The sequence below is a fragment of the Homo sapiens genome, chromosome 12 (genome assembly GCF_000001405.40).
Source record: "Homo sapiens chromosome 12, GRCh38.p14 Primary Assembly".
Taxonomy (NCBI): Eukaryota; Metazoa; Chordata; class Mammalia; order Primates; family Hominidae; genus Homo; species Homo sapiens.
Window position 1 is genome coordinate 101,851,615 of NC_000012.12, and position 15,744 is coordinate 101,867,358.

General features: G+C 44.2%; 4 annotated features.

Moving 5' to 3' along the window:
• Positions 3,169 to 3,668: an enhancer, noted in NCBI's record as "H3K27ac-H3K4me1 hESC enhancer chr12:102248561-102249060 (GRCh37/hg19 assembly coordinates)". NCBI's record gives its function as "activates a minimal SCP1, AML or CMV promoter by ChIP-STARR-seq in primed H9 embryonic stem cells {active_cell/tissue: H9 hESC(primed)}" and the evidence as "EXISTENCE:reporter gene assay evidence [ECO:0000049][PMID:30033119]".
• Positions 3,178 to 3,395: a transcriptional cis regulatory region, noted in NCBI's record as "candidate enhancer chr12.3152 targeted for multiplex CRISPR interference". NCBI's record gives its function as "positively regulates DRAM1 gene expression with high confidence in K562 cells {active_cell/tissue: K562}" and the evidence as "EXISTENCE:mutant phenotype evidence [ECO:0000015][PMID:30612741]".
• Positions 3,648 to 4,324: a transcriptional cis regulatory region, noted in NCBI's record as "candidate enhancer chr12.3153 targeted for multiplex CRISPR interference". NCBI's record gives its function as "positively regulates DRAM1 gene expression with high confidence in K562 cells {active_cell/tissue: K562}" and the evidence as "EXISTENCE:mutant phenotype evidence [ECO:0000015][PMID:30612741]".
• Positions 8,215 to 8,384: an enhancer, noted in NCBI's record as "active region_6867". NCBI's record gives its function as "activates an Ori minimal core promoter by ATAC-STARR-seq in GM12878 lymphoblastoid cells {active_cell/tissue: GM12878}" and the evidence as "EXISTENCE:reporter gene assay evidence [ECO:0000049][PMID:35858748]".

The following is a 15,744-nucleotide window of genomic DNA, read 5'->3' on the forward strand; positions in this document are numbered from 1 at the left end:
TTATGTGAAAAAAATTTCCAATTAAGATGTCAGTATTTTATGAAAAACCAGAAGTTATTAGATAAAGGCAGTAAGTGAATCTTTACAACATACTGGATCATGCACAATGTCTTTTTGTCTTAAACTGGAAATAAATCTATATCTGCTAGAAATAATGTAGCCTAAAAAATGCAAATTTGGCCAGGCATGGAGGCTCACACCTGTAATCCCAGCACTTTGTGAGGCCAAGGCAGGTGGATCACCTGAGGTCAGGCGTTCGAGACTAGCCTGGCCAACGCAGTGAAACCCCGTTTCTACTAAAAATACAAAAATTAGCTGGGCGTGGTGGCGTGCTCCTGTAATCCCAGCTACTAGGGAGGCTGAGGCAGGAGAATTGCTTGAACATGGGAGGCAGAGGTTGCAGTGAGCTGAGATCGTACCACTGCACTGCAACCTGGGTTACAGAGCAAGACTCCATCTCAAAAAACAAAAAAAAAGAAAAAAAAGAAAATCTAAAACCAATTAAAACCTTATTTTGAAGAATGACAAATCTAGATCTATTTTTAAAATTTGTGTTTTTGTTTTTGTGGCTTGTTTTGAGACAGGGTCTCACTCTGTCCCCCAGGCTGGGGTGCAGTGGTGTGATCTCAGCTCACTGGAACCTCCGCCTCATAAGCTCCAGTGATCCTCCCATCTCAGCCTCCTAAATAGCTCCTAAATAGCCGTGCTTGGCTAATTTCTTGGTTTGTGTGTGTGTGTGTGTGTGTGTGTGTGTTTGTTTGTTTGTTTTTCTAGAGATGGGGTCTCACCATGTCACCCAGGCTGGTCTGGAACTCTTGGGCTCAAGTGATCTGCCCACCTGGACTTCCCAAAGTGCTGGGTTTATAGGCATGAGCCACCACACCCAGCCCTGAAAAAATGTTTGAAACTCATATATGTTAAGTGTGTGATGTACCTATTATTAACTTAAACACTAAAAGACAAAGACAAACAACACATGATAATGCTTCAGGACTCCAAATCTCAGTGTCAGCTCAGTCCGTGTTGAATAGTCCTTGAATGCCTCTGGGTATTCCTCTTTCCCCAGTGCACAGCTACCTCAGTAAATGACCACTGGTCTTTTTGATAAAGGACTGAAAATCATTACAGAATATACTCAAGATGATGTTTCAGGGTTCTTTATTCTGGGGACCTGGCCACCTCTTCAGTCCACCAGTACCAGGTCTGAAAACTGACTTAGGTTCAACATCAGGGCAAGAGATCCTGATTTCCTTTTGGGTGACCACCCCGATTTTGTCAAATGCAGTTTATTAACCATTATACACCTATTGCTAAGCCCAGGGACTGACACATAGTAAGTACTCAAAAATATTTGTTGAATGAATGAATGACACTTGGAATTTCAGAGACATAAAAGTTTAGGGTGGTATATAAAACCTCAATCAATCAGTGATGATTGAAGTGTTTATTCTTTCATTAAGTATCCTACTTGACCTACAGGGAAAACATAGAGACCTACAGGGAAACATCAAAAACATAGCCTCTGGAATCAATCAGTGTGACTTGATACCAGGTCTCCTCTTATCATTTCTAAGTCTCAGTTTCCTCATGTGTAAAATGGGTATAATAATAACTTACAAGGCTGCTGTGTGGATCAAATGAGATAATGCACATAAAGATCTCAGCATGGTGCCTGATACATAGCAAGTGTTATAAGGTTAAAATTTTATTTATTCATTTTGTTATTTTATTATTATTAGTTTTTGAGACAGTGTTCCTCTGTCACCCAGGCTGAAGTGCAGTGGCGTGATCTCAGCTCACTGCAACCTCTGCCTCCCAGGTTCAAGTGATTCTCCTGCCTCAGCCTCCTGAGTAGCTGGGATCACAGGCCTGCACCCCTACGCCCAGCTCATTTTTTTTTTTTTTTTTTGTTTAGACAGAGTTTCGCTCTTTGTTGCCCAGGCTGGAGTGCAGTGGTGCGATCTCTGCTCACTGCAACCTCTGTCTCCCGGGTTCAGGCAATTCTCCTCTCTCAGCCTCCCAAGTAGCTGGGATTACAGGCTCCCCACCACCACGCCCAGCTCATTTTTGTATTTTTAGTAGAGGCGGGGTTTCGCCATGCTGGCCAGGCTGGTCTCGAACTCCTGACCTCAGGTGATCCGCCCGCCTTGGCCTCCCAAAGTGCTAGGATTACAGGTAGGAGCCATCACGTCCAGCCAATTTTTTTTGTATTTTTAGTAGAGACAGGTTTTGCCATGTTGGCCCAGCTGGTCTCGAACTCCTGGCCTCAAGTGATCCACCTGCCTCAGCTTCCCAAAATACTGGGATTATAGGTGTGAGCCACCATGCTCAGCATAAGGTTAAAAATTTAAATACCGCAACTCCCATAGGCCACAACTGTTACTCCTTTGTCTCTGTTTATAATTGATCTAAACATTCTCAGTAAACTCCATTTGGTTTGAGGGAGGAGGAAGGCAGAGAAGTAGGATGCCGCAGGAGTTAAACTTGTCAAATAAAGGTCCGTTAGTCTCTGCAAGATGGTTAAGATTATCTCTTGCTGAGTAAATATTAAATAATCTAATATTTAACTCCACATCAGAGCCATTTCATCCTTCTTTCTCTTACTTTTCAAGGTGTCAGGGTTCCATGGGCAAGCCATGTGCACTCTTGGCACATTTACCCATAAATGAGTCTCTCCATAGGCTTTGGAATCCTTGTAGGCTTCAAGGTTTTTGCTCAACTTAGTATTGATACCCTGGTTATGCTCAGCCACTGGGACACTGGGGACATTTGCTGCTAGAGTGTGCAGTATGACTATTGGTCTGTCCTCTTGGTTGGCGTATATTAGTCTGTTCTCGCACTGCTAGTAAAGACATACCTGAGACTGGGTAATTTATAAAGAAAAGAGGTTTAGTTGACTCAGTTCCGCATGGCTGGGAGGCCTCACTATCATGGCGGTAGACGAGTGAGGAGCAAAGGCATGTCTTTCACAGTGGCAGGCAAGAGAGCTTGTGCAGGGAAACTGCCCTTTATAAAACCATCAGATCTTGAGAGACTTATTCACTACCACAGGAATAGTATGGGTGAAAATGCCCTATGATTCAATTATCTCCACCTGTCCCTGCCCTTGACACCTGGGGATTATTACAATTCAAGGTGAGATTTGGGTGAGGACACAGCCAAACCATATCAGTTGTGGTAGGGCCCATTGATCTACAAATGTGACTTGACCTCACTTTTGCATCCCTTCAAGGCTCAGCCACTGCCTCCCTCAGACATGTGGTAGAGGTTATCAGGTCCCTGTCTACCCACTTCCTCATGGTGACCCAATGGCAGGTCACACTCAATTACCTTTCACTTCCCCAAAAAGGATGCTGAAAAGGGGTCTTTTGACTCTCTTCCAAGTCATCAAGGGAGGTCTGCACTGTTGAATTAGGCTAATTAGGCTACCATTACATCACCGTAAGCCTAGGTGCACTCTGCAGTGGTGTTCTCTCCATTTCAAAACAAGAAGTCAGGTTAAATCTGTCTTTACATATATTTTCTCTCTTCAACATAAACTGGGTTTTCACTTTTCTAATCAGCTACTGATGCAGGATTTTTTATTCCTTACCACCACTAGGTCTGGGTTCTCATCTCACAACCAGGAAGAATTAGGCATGCAGACACTTGAAGAGTGAGTGGAGCAGAATTTATTAAGTGAAAGGAAAGCTCTCAGCAAAAAGAGGGGACCTGAAAGCAGTTTACTGGTTGCCCCCTTCACAGTTGAATACCAGGGCTTAAGGCATGAATTTCTGGTGGCTCCACCCTGTCCTTCCAGTGCTGATGCAGGCCCTTGGACTGAGCAGCTCCATATTGATTTATTTCCCTTACTGTGTATGTGTTAAGGAATGGAATTTTCCACTGCAGGCATGTTTAGGCAAGCTCCCCGTGCAAGTTCCCTTATCTGCACAAAACATCTGGTGTAAGCACTTGTAGGGTGGGTGGGAGGTTCTCCGGGGACCCTTCCCTTACTGTCTGCCTAAAGCAAGCTGGCTAACACTTATCACTACAACCCCTTGAGTTTCAACAGGGAGAAGGAGCTATGTGTAAAGCAAGGGTCTTGGTGTCTAATCTCTTCCTGCACATCTTCTACACCCTGCACCACTAGACCAGAGGAAGGCTTCCCTCTGGGTAGACGTCCCTTTTAGAATTTTTGTTTTTCTTCCTTGACCTAAAGCTAGTTCTTCTCTTTCTTTTCCCTGAGGCAATAAACATCTCCTAGTCCCAAAGTGAGGAATGTTTGCAAGAACGGGAAAAAGTTTATAGAGAAAAAACTATTTGGGGAGGTACAACATTTATATCACCCTTTAACTATCAAATTTGAGTGTCTTCTGCTCCTCTTCTCTTTTTAGATTAATTATACAAAATCAAGAGTACATGTTTTTACATAGCTAAGATATATGATATGGTCTGGCTGTGTCCCCACTCAAATCTCATTTTGAACTAGAGTTCCCATAATCCCCACGTGTCATGGGAGAGACCTAGTAGAAGGTAATTGAATCATGGAGGCAGTTACCCCCATGCTGTTCTCGTGATAGTGAGTGAGTTTCCCCAGATCTGATGGTTTTAAAGAGCGTCCCCCCTACACCACCTTCACTCTGCACTTCCTGCTGCCACCATGTGAAGAAGGACATGTTTACTTCCCCTTCTGCCATGATTATAAGTTTCCTGAGGCCTCCCAAGCCCTGTGGAACTGTGATCCAGTTAAACCTCTTTCCTTTATAAATTACACAGGCTCAGATATGTCCTTACAGCAGCATGAGAACAGGCTAACACATAATATTTAAATTTTGATATTGAAACATTGGAGCTCAATACATATTAATGATGACATAATAACGACAGAATTGAGCAAAAGCACTGAAAACTGCACTTGATAGGAATTGGAATGCATTCTGCCACAAAGACCTGTTTATAAAAAATAAACATAAAAAAGTAATCAGAATACTTAATGCTTCAGATTTTGGTCTGCTGATGAGTAATTTGAGCCAATCTTAAATAAGACTTTTCTTATTTTAATTCTTTTTTTTTTTTCAAAGATGATGTCTTGCTCTGTCACCCAGGCTAGAGTGTAGTAGCGTGATCTCAGCTCACTGCAACCTCCACCTCCCGGGCTCAAGTGATTCTCCTGCCACAGCCTCCTGAAAGCTGGGACTACAGGTGCACAACACCACGCATGGCTAATTTGTGTATTTTTAGTAGAGATGGGGTTTCACCCTGTTGGCCAGGCTGGTCTCGAACTCCTGACCTCAAGTGATACTGCCTCTTCAGTCTCCCAAAGTGCTGGGATTACAGGTGTGAGCCACTGCCCCCGGCCTCTTATTTTAATTCTTTAACCAAAGAAATGTGAGGACAAAGGTCCTGGATGAGACCATAAAACCTGGATTATGATCATTATGAAGGAGACTGCCACTAAATAATATGTGAGTATGCACACATTACCTCTCTGGTTTTACAGTTTCCTCTTGCACAAATCCAAGGCATTAGACTAGATGACCTCTAAGGAACCTTTCTGTAGATCTATAATTTTTTCTGAAATGCTCAGATGGCTCATTGTCCATAAATGTGTCAGCAAGCTGAGTTATTCATTGAGTCACATGTTAACCTCTCACTGGAACTGCAATGCATTACAGTGCTATTATGTAACTCTCCAGCCCCTTAGGATTTGGGGTCATTATAATTAGCCAGAATGGAAAGAACTCCTGAATGATATATCCGGTCTAAGCACAGGCACATGAATTACATGGCTGAGATGGGTAAACCTGAAAATTTTCTGAGAAGTAAACACATTTTTGTTACTATTAATTCCTTCCTCCTCCTCCTGCTCTTGCTTCATCACTTACTTCTGCTATGTCTTCATATTCTCTCTCAGAAAGCATTCTGTTCTAACCCCCAAATGTATCTCTCCATTTTGTCTTCTTGTGCTTCTCCACCTATCTTCTTGGAATAGAAGTCTGAACCTACTGCTTTACTTTTCAGTTCCATGCAATCCAGCTTCTATCTGTACCACTCTCCTGAAATTCCTACAAAGATTGCCAGTGACTGCTTATCTGCCCAAACCGACCTCTTCTTTTCCCCTTTGTGCTGATTCCACTGCAGCATTTGCTCTTTGGTAATCTCATATATACCAACCCCTTTCCACTGATGTTTCCCAAGTCAATTTCCAACTATCTAGCAGTTGTCTTCACCTAGGTGTCCTACAGACATCTCAAACTGTTGGATGTCTAAAACCAAATTCATAATCCTCCAGACTTCTTCTATTCCCTGGCTCAATTAATGATTAATATTCACTGATCCTTTTTTTTTTTTTTTTTGAGACAGTCTCACTCTGTCACCTAGGCTGGAGTGCAGTGTCACCATCTTGGCCCACTGCAACCTCCACCTCCCAAATTCAAGCAATTCTCATGTCTCAGCCTCCCAAGTATCTGGGATTACAGATGTGCACCACCATGCTGGCCTACATGTTGTATTATTTTTAGTAGAGATGGGGTTTCACAACGTTAGCCAGGCTGGTCTGGAACTCTTGGCCTCAAGTGATCTGCCCGCCTCAGACTCCCAGAGTGTTGGGCATACAGGCACTAGACACCATGCCCAGTTCATTGAGCCTTTCAAACTAGAACCAACTTCTCCTCTTCTTCAACTCTTCTATCTCTTACTCTGCTCATCCAATTGGCCAGCAAATCCTTTTTCTCCATCCACAATCTACTGCCTTAAATTAGGTTTTTAGCATTTCTTAAAACGACCCTCCTGATGTTAATCGCTAATGCTATCTCTAGTCCAATCTATCTAAGGGTTGCCGGAGTTATCACCACAAAAAATAAACTTGGTGATGACACCACCCTACTCATGAGCTCTCCTTGTTGCTCTCAGGGCAAAATCCAATCTCCTTAGCATGTTACACAAGGTCCTTTATAATGTCATCACCACCAGTCTCCCCAGCCTTATCCTCATGTGTTCCAGTCACACTGGACCACTTATCCCCTAGATGAATCAAGTTCATTTGAACACCATGACCTTGAATTCAGGCACTGAGTGTTTCCTTTCCATATTCTTGATCACAAAGCACAATGACAAATTGTACATCCTCAATCAACTTTTGAATGAATTAATCATGGATCCTGGATAGTGGTTTCTGAATAAGACATTAATTAATATTATTATTATTACATATTTTTTGAGACAAAGTCTCTTTCTGTCTCCCAGGCTGGAGTGCAGTGGCTTGATCTGGGCTCACCGCAACCTCTGCCTCCAGGGTTCAAGTGATTCTTTTCCCTCAGCCTCCTGAGTAGCTGGGACTGCAGGTGCATGCCACCACGCCCGACTTATTTTTGTATTTTTAGTAGAGATGGGGTTTCACCATTTTGGCCAGGCTGGTCTCAAACTCCTAACCTCAAGTGATCCTCCTGCCTTGGTCTCCCAAAGTGCTGGGATTACAGGCATGAGCCACTGTGCCCAGCAAGATATTAATTTTTAAGTAAAAGAATTATGAAAGAAACCCCTCTCTCAAAAGAATCCTCCTCTCTTTGTCCTTGAGCAGGGAAGCAAACAATTACCTTCTGAACTTTTTGTCATTATCATAGCCACTTTCAATTCTTGTCCAATTCATATCAGATATAAAAAGAAAAACAACTGTGGCCAGGAGTGGTGGCTCATGCCTGTAATTGCAGCACTTTGGGAGGCCGAGGCGGGTGGATCATCTGAGGTCAGGATTTTGAGACCAGCCCAGGCAACACAGAGAAACCCCGATTCTACTGAAAATACAAAAATTAGCCAGGCATGGTGGTGGGCGCCTATAGTCCCAGCTACTCGGGAAGCTGAAGGGGGAGAATCGCTTGAACCTGGGAGGCAGAGTTTGCAGTGAGCCAAGATCACGCCACTGCACTCCAACCTGGACAACAGAAGGAGACTCTGTATCAAAAAACAAACAAACAAACAAAAAAACAAACAAAAAAACCTGACAAAATCTTTTCCTCCTTTTGTAATGTATTCACTGTGTGGAGAGATAAATCAATGAGATCTTTGTGAATGGGAGTATCATACTCAGTTTGTCTGCAGATAATGACAACTAAAACATGAACTGCACCTTGTAGGAATACCCTATGTAGAATTGTTGAAGTAAATAGAGATTTATGATTAGCTAAACTGAGAAAGTCAGATCATATGAGTTCCTATATTCATGAGGTAATTTAGAAACTATTCATAAGGGGAAGGGAGAAAAAAAACCTGACCTCTTAAAACTTACAAGAATTTCTCACATTGTCATAATGGAAATTCCCAAATTTCTCAAATGTGCTTTTTTTCTTCATCTCTGGTAGCATGAAAGCATCTGCCAAAAAATATGAAACTTAAGATGTATTTAATGCCATTGCCCAAACTTGTAATAACTTGTAATAATCAGATTATCCTTAAAACAGTCAAGTGTCATTCCCACAAAGGGCACTGGTGCTCTCTCCCTTTGAGTAATGAAAAATTTTAAACCTTTGCTTCTTCCTTCTGATGTCTGTACTCACAGGGTTTACAGTACCTTTTATGAGGTGCTACTATGCTGCTGGTATGTACAAATGTATAGCATCAGATTCTATAGGTAATAGTGTCAAACTACTATCAAGCATGCATCTATCTGTACACATGTTTTCAATAAACATGTATTAACCACTTATTTTGTGCTGGTGCTTGGCACTGGAAATAGAAATATGTAAGATTCAATTCCTGCTCACAACATTTAGAGTCTAGAGTCTATCCACTAGGTTGACAAGTTAACATTGTGAAATCTGTAATATAAAGAGCCTGAGGATACAGAGAAGTGACACAGAGGTCACACTTTGGGGCTGTTAGGAAGGGCTTCCTGAAGAAGGCCATTGCTGAGGAGAATACAATCCACAAGCATTTATTAAGTGCCTATGTCAAGCCCAGCTCCAAGCCTGGGTATACAGTAGTGAATAAAGGAGAAAGATATTCCTACCTGCATGAAGCTTACATTCTAGGAGAATAACGTGAAGAAAGAACAGAAGCTTGCCAGATGAATGATCCACAAAGAAATGAACAGTGTATCTTTGGAGGTTAGTTATATATAAGTAAGTATAGCTCAGAAAAGTCTCCAGCTCGCTGTGTAATCTCTGTCTTATCCAAAACTCACTGAGAACATGTTGAAGTGTCCCCAGTTTCTATAAAGGAGTGCTTCCCTCCACACCAGCGAACAGGGCCTAGAATCCATTCACAGGTGAGGGGCCTCTGCCATGAAAAAGACATGTGCAGGCGCATATGTGCACTCAATCACAGAGACACACATGCACATGCACACACACAGGGTGAGCCATTCACATGGTGACCACTGACACTGCACTGGCTAGTCCCAGTCTTGACATCCCCATTGTAACAATGCTCAATGCCAGAAGCAGGAATAGAAGGAAGAGATTCTACCTGGTCCCTACCCACAAGAGCTCGTTTTAAGTTTCTTCCTGATCACAAAAGGGAGAGTAGATGTTGTAATATTCATGGTGCTTTTTAAAGAGAGAGTACACACTAGTATGTGTGCCCCTTTTGTTCAGAGCAATGGTTATGCACTCTCACTCAAATAAACTTAAGTGTTTCAAAGGACTCTTGGATGGAGGATGTAACATCTACTTGGGTGTAATGATCCCTATGATCTTGCAATGTAAAAATACAGTATCTTGATTTTTTTCAAAAGATATAAAGATGTGGGCGGGCTGTGGTGGTTCACACCCATAATCCCACAAGTTTGAGAGGACAAGGTAAGAGGATTGCTTGAGCTCATAAGGTCAAGGCCAGCCTGAGAAACACAGTGAGATGCTGTCTCTATTTAAAAAAAAAAAATATATATATATAAAGGTGTGGGTGTGAATGCATTCCCTCCCTCCCTCCCTCCCTCCTTCCCTCCCTCCCCCCCTTTCTTCCTTCCTATTTCTTTATTGAACACATGCTATATATCCAGTGTAAAAAAATTAGACATACAGATATTTTTATAAATGAAAATAAAAGGAGAATCATATGGTTCCAGATGACATTGCTAATAATTTGGTATATCATTTTACAGATTCATTCTTCATGCTTATTTTTCATAAATTAATACACATGCATTTTATTTTACAAAGTAAGAATAATACTATACATTGGGGTCCCCAACCCCTGAACCATGGACCAGTACCACCTGTGGCCCATTAGGAACCAGGCTGCACAGCAGGAGGTGAGCAGCAGGTGAGCAAGCAAAGCTTCATCTGCATTTACAGCCACTCCCCATTGCTCATATTACCACCTGAGCCACGCCTCCTGTCAGATCAGTGGCAGCATTAGATTCTCATAGGAGCATGAACCCTATTGTGAACTGTGCATACCAGGGATCTAGGTTGTGGGCTCCTTATGAGAATCTAATGTCTGATGATCTGTCACTATCTCCCATCGCCTCCAGATGGGACTGTCTAGTTGCAGGTGACCAAGCTCAGGGTTCCCACTGATTTTACATTATGGTGAGTTATATAATCATTTTATTATATATTACAATATAATAATAATAGAAATAAAGTACACAATAACTAATGTGCTTGTCTCATCCCAAAACTACCCCCCAGCCCCCAGCCAAGTAGGTTTTTAAGAAAAAGAAAAGGTAATTCCTAACTTGCTTCCCAAGAATTTATATTCAAATAACATAAGCTATTGATTGGCCGTACATTGTTCTTTGCATCACAAATTCCAGGAATTCAATGATAATGGGTAAGGCAGCTAGTCAGGAACAAAATATCTTTAAACAATTGTCCTCAGGCATGGGCATGGCAGGGCATGGCTGAAGTCCTCTACTCATGTCTTTCTGGCCTGCTGAATTTTACATACTTCCCATACCACAGGGTGCTCTGAGTTATTTTTCTTTTCTCAGAGGCCTAGGAAATGAAGTCCCTGCCTGAGAAGCCTCTTCCCAGCAAGAACTACACAGTAGAAAAGTAGCATAAATCTCTTATCCCAGGTGAACATCTCATCATTTCTGCCTCGACATATGTTTTCTGCTTCTACAATACAACTTAGAAAAGTAGTATGGTTGTCAGACCGGGCACAGTGGCTCATGCCTGTAATCCCAGCATTTTGGGAGGCCGAGATGGTCGAATCACCAGGTCAGGAGTTTCAGACCAGCCTGACCAACATGGTGAAACTCGGTCTCTACTAAAAATACAAAAATTAGCCAGGCATGGTGGCATATGACTGTAATCCCAGCTACTCAGGAGGCTGAGGCGGCATAATCGCTTGAACCCAGGAGGCAGAGGTTGCAGTGAGCCGAGATCACACCATTGCACTCCAGCCTGGGCGACAGAGCCAGACTCCATCTCAAAAAAAAAAAAAAAAAAGGAGTATGGTTGTCATAGTGAAATGGGATTGTTCCCTTGACCTTGACCCCCGTCATGAGTGGGAACAGGAATGGCTCTTTTTACTCAGCCCACCGCTGGCCACTCCTCACGAGAGGTAGCATGTGAGCAAGTGAATGTGGGAACCGGAGGGAATGAATGCTGGAACCACCCAGTCACTCCTCTCTGGTGGGAGCAGGCTCTGTGCAGTGTTCAAGAACCCAGGTTCTTGTTCGGCATCCAGGAAGAATCAGGTCACATGAATAGATTGAAGGGTAGTGTATGCAGAGGATTTTATTGGGTGATGGATGTGGCTCTCAGTGGGATGGGAGTTGGAAAGGGGATGGTGTGGGAAGAAGGGATCTTTCCTTGAAGCCGCACCATCTGAAGTTAGCTGTGTCTATCCGTAGTTTCCAATGCTCAGTTGCTGCTTCTCTGCTTGCCATTCAGCCGCTTGTATCCCCCACGCTTAGCTATTTTTTTTTTTTTTTTTTTTTTTTTGCTTTGCCGGCTGATGTTCTTTGTGGGCACAGCATAGGGGCAGGGCAGACCAAAAAGGCAGCGTTTGGGTGGAAAAATGGAGTCAGCTGTTTTCACTTAGGGCCAGGCTTAGAGTGGGTTTAGCTGGGACCCCAGGCATTCTGTATCAATAAGGTGACTCAGTGTTATGAGCTACATATTTGTGTCCCCTTCAAAGTCATTTGTTGAAAGCTTAAACCCCAACAGGGTCAGTTGCAGTGGCTCATGCCTGTAATCCCAGCACTTTGGGAGGCCGAGGCAGGTGGATCACTTGATGTCAGGAGTTTGAGACCAGCCTGGCCAACATAGTGAAACCCCATCTATACTAAAAACACAAAAATTAGCTGGGCTTCGTGGCATGCACCTGCAGTCTCAGTTACTTGGGAGGCTGAGGCAGGAGAATTGCTTGAACCCAGGAGGCAGAGATTGCAATGAGCTGAGATCACTCCATTGCACTCCAGCCTGGGTGACAGAGAAAGACTCCATCTCAAAAAAAAAAAAAAAAAGAAAGAAAAAAGAAAAAAAAAAAAAGAAAAGAGAAAAAGAAAACCACAATGGGATGCTAATAGAATGTGGAGGCTTTGGGAGGTAATTAGATCATAAGGGTGGAGCCCTCATGATGGGATTGATGCCCTTATTAGAAGTCATGAAATGTGCTGGCTTCCTCTCTCTTTATACTCTCCACCCTGGGAGGACACAGCAAGATGATGCAAATCAGGAAGCTGGGGTTCACCAGACATGGGATCTGCAAGCACCTTGATCTTGGACTTCCCAGCATCCACAACTGTGAGAAATATATGATTGTAATTGGAGCCACTCTATCTATGGTAATTTGTTATAGCTGCCCAAACTAAGACACTAATGAAGTGTGAAATTATATGAGATTGTATTTTTGGTTTTTGAGACAAGGTCTTACTCTGTTGCCCAGGCTGCAGTGCAGTTGGCGAGATCATGGCTAACTGCAGCTTCATCCCCCTGGGTTCAAGCAATCCTCCTACCTCAGGTCCAGCTATTACACTTGGCTAAATTTTTAAATTTTTTTGTAGATACAGGGGTCTCCCTATGTTGCCCAGGATGGGCTTGAACTTCTGAGCTCCAGTGATGCTCCCACCTTAGCCTTCCAAATTGTGAGAATTAGCCAGGCGCAGTGGCTCATGTCTGTAATCCTAGCACTTTGGGAAGCTGAGGTGGGCAGATGACTTGAGGTTGGGAGTTCGAGAACAGCCTGGCTAACATGGCAAAACCCTGAGGTCAGGAGTTGAAGACCAGCCTGACTAGCATGACGAAACCCCATCTCTAATAAAAATACAAAAATTAGCCAGGTGTGGTGGCACATGCCTGTAGCTTCAGCTACTCGAGAGGCTGAGGATTGCTTAAACCCAGGCAGCAGGGGTTGTTGTTAGCTGAGATCATGCCACTGCACTCCAGCCTGGGTGACAGAGTGAGACCCTGTGTGACACACACACACACACACACACACACACACACACACACACACACACACATTATGAGAATTACACCCCGAGACAGGCCTATTGAACTTTCTTCAGGGCTCACCAAATGTCACCGGACAAATAAGAAGGGTTCTCTGAGTTAGGCATGCTGGACTTCCATCAGCAATTCCTTCTGAGATCCCTTCCACATATACAAACACACACAAAGATATGACAGACAGAAGGCCTTCCAAATCAGATCCCTAACCAAGAATTCCAAGAGTATCCCTTCCAAACTATCCTATTCTCCATCTGAGAAATCTCCCTGAAATCTTCCTCATCAAGGAGAAGTCTCCAGAATCAGGAATCTTCCTATTAGTTAGGGAGAGCCAAGTGAGACCTCCCAGGAGCCAAACAAAACAGACAACCTATGATGGAGCTACAAACAGACACCCTGCCAAATTCATCTCTTTGGGTCAACCGTGTCCCACCAGTAGAGAGTACCAGAGTCAGCCCCCAGTCCAAGAGAACTAGGTGGCTGCTTGGGCTGGCCTCTGGATCCATTGCTGGAGGGGGGCTACTGAACCACAGGCAGGTAATTACAGGGCAATCCCAGACGAGCCCCAAATTTGTAACCGCCCAATGGGTTTGCCTTGTCCACTGCCTAGACAGAGCCAATTTATCAAGACAGGGGAATTGCAATAGAGAAAGAGTAATTCATGCAGAGCCAGCTGTGTGGGAGATGGAGTTGTATTATTACTCAGATCAGTCTCCCTGAGCATTCAGGGATCAGAGTTGTTTGTTGGTTTTTTTCTTTTTTTTGAGACAGAGTTTCGCTCTTATTGCCCAGGCTAGAGTGCAATGGTGCGATCTCAGCTTCCTCCAACCTCCGCCTCCCCGGTTGAAGCGATTCTCCTGCCTCAGCCTCCCAAGTAGCTGGGATTACAGGTGCCTGCCACCACACCCAGCTAATTTTTGTATTTTTAATAGAGACGGGGTTTCACCATGTTGGTCAGGCTGGTCTAGAGTTCCTGACCTTGTGATCCACCCGCCTTGGCCTCCCAAAGTGCTGGGATTACAGGCATGAGCCTCTGCGCCTGGCAAGGGATCAGAGTTTTTAAGAATAATTTGGTGAGTGGGGAAGGTCAGTGAGTCAAGAGTGCTGATTGGTTGGGTCAGAGATAAAATCACGGGAAGTTGAAATTGTCATCTTGTGCTGAGTCAGTTCCTGGATGGGGGCCGCGAGATCAGATGAGCCAATTTATCCATCTAGGGTGGTTCCAGCTGATCCATCAAGTGCAGGGTCTGCAAAATATCTCAAGCACTGATCTTAGTGATACAATGAAAGAGGCAGGAGGCAGAGAAATTCTAGGCAGACAGGGGCAGGTCTCTGGTGAAGCCCCACCCTCAAGCTGAAAAGCCTGAGACCACGGCTCAAAGTCAGAACTCATATCCCCGTTTTCCCGCTTGAATGTTGCCTTTTCCTGAATCACCTATGACCCCGCCCTACCCTAGCCTGTGCCTATAAATACCCCAGACTCACCTTCAGAAAGGAGAAGCAGCTGGACACTGGGGACTATGGCTGGACGTTGGAGAGAAGTGACTTGACTTCAGAGGGACAGTTTGATGGCATAACTTCAGAGAACAATCCGGCCAGAGACAGCTGACTTCAGGGGAAGATTACCTACCCACTCTATCTTTTTTTTCAGCTCCCCTTCCCGCTATAAGCCACTTTAATCCGTCATAAAATCCCCTGCATGACCATCCTTCAATTCGTTTATGTGACCTCGTTTCTCCTGGACTCTGGACAAGAGCTCAGGAGCCACAAGTGCGGATTCAAAAGGCTGTCTATTGGCCCTTAGCCTTTGCTGGCAGAGGGCAGCTGCCTACACGAAAGGGCAGCGGGCCCACTGAGCTGTTAACAAAGTTGCTGATGGATGGCAGAGCTAAAAGAGCACTGTAACACGCCCCCTGGGGCTTTGGAAGTTGCAGGTACCTCTGCCTGGACACTGCTGAGGGGCCTGCACAAACTTCACTGCTGCTGGTGCCCAAAAGCACTCACTCTGGCTCCTGCACCCATTCACCTGTGTGCTCCCTCCCGCAAGGGGTGGAACACAATGGGCCTGCGTGAGTGGAGTTTGATCCCACTGGTGCTGAAGCAGCCAGCCAATTCCAGCGCTTGTGCACTCCAATTCCTGCCTTGCTTGCTTGCGTGCTTCCTCCTGCAAGGAGTTGAGAGTGGTGGGCTAAGTAAACAAGGCACCCCTGTTGCAAGTCCCGTGAAGGGGTCAGGGAAATATCCTGCTTCATTAGGAACAGTGTAGGTAGGGTCAGAATCTTGGAGCCTCCAGCTGCATGATTCCTAAACCATAATTTCTAATCTTGTGGCTAATTTGTTAGTCCTACAAAGGCAGTCTAGTCCC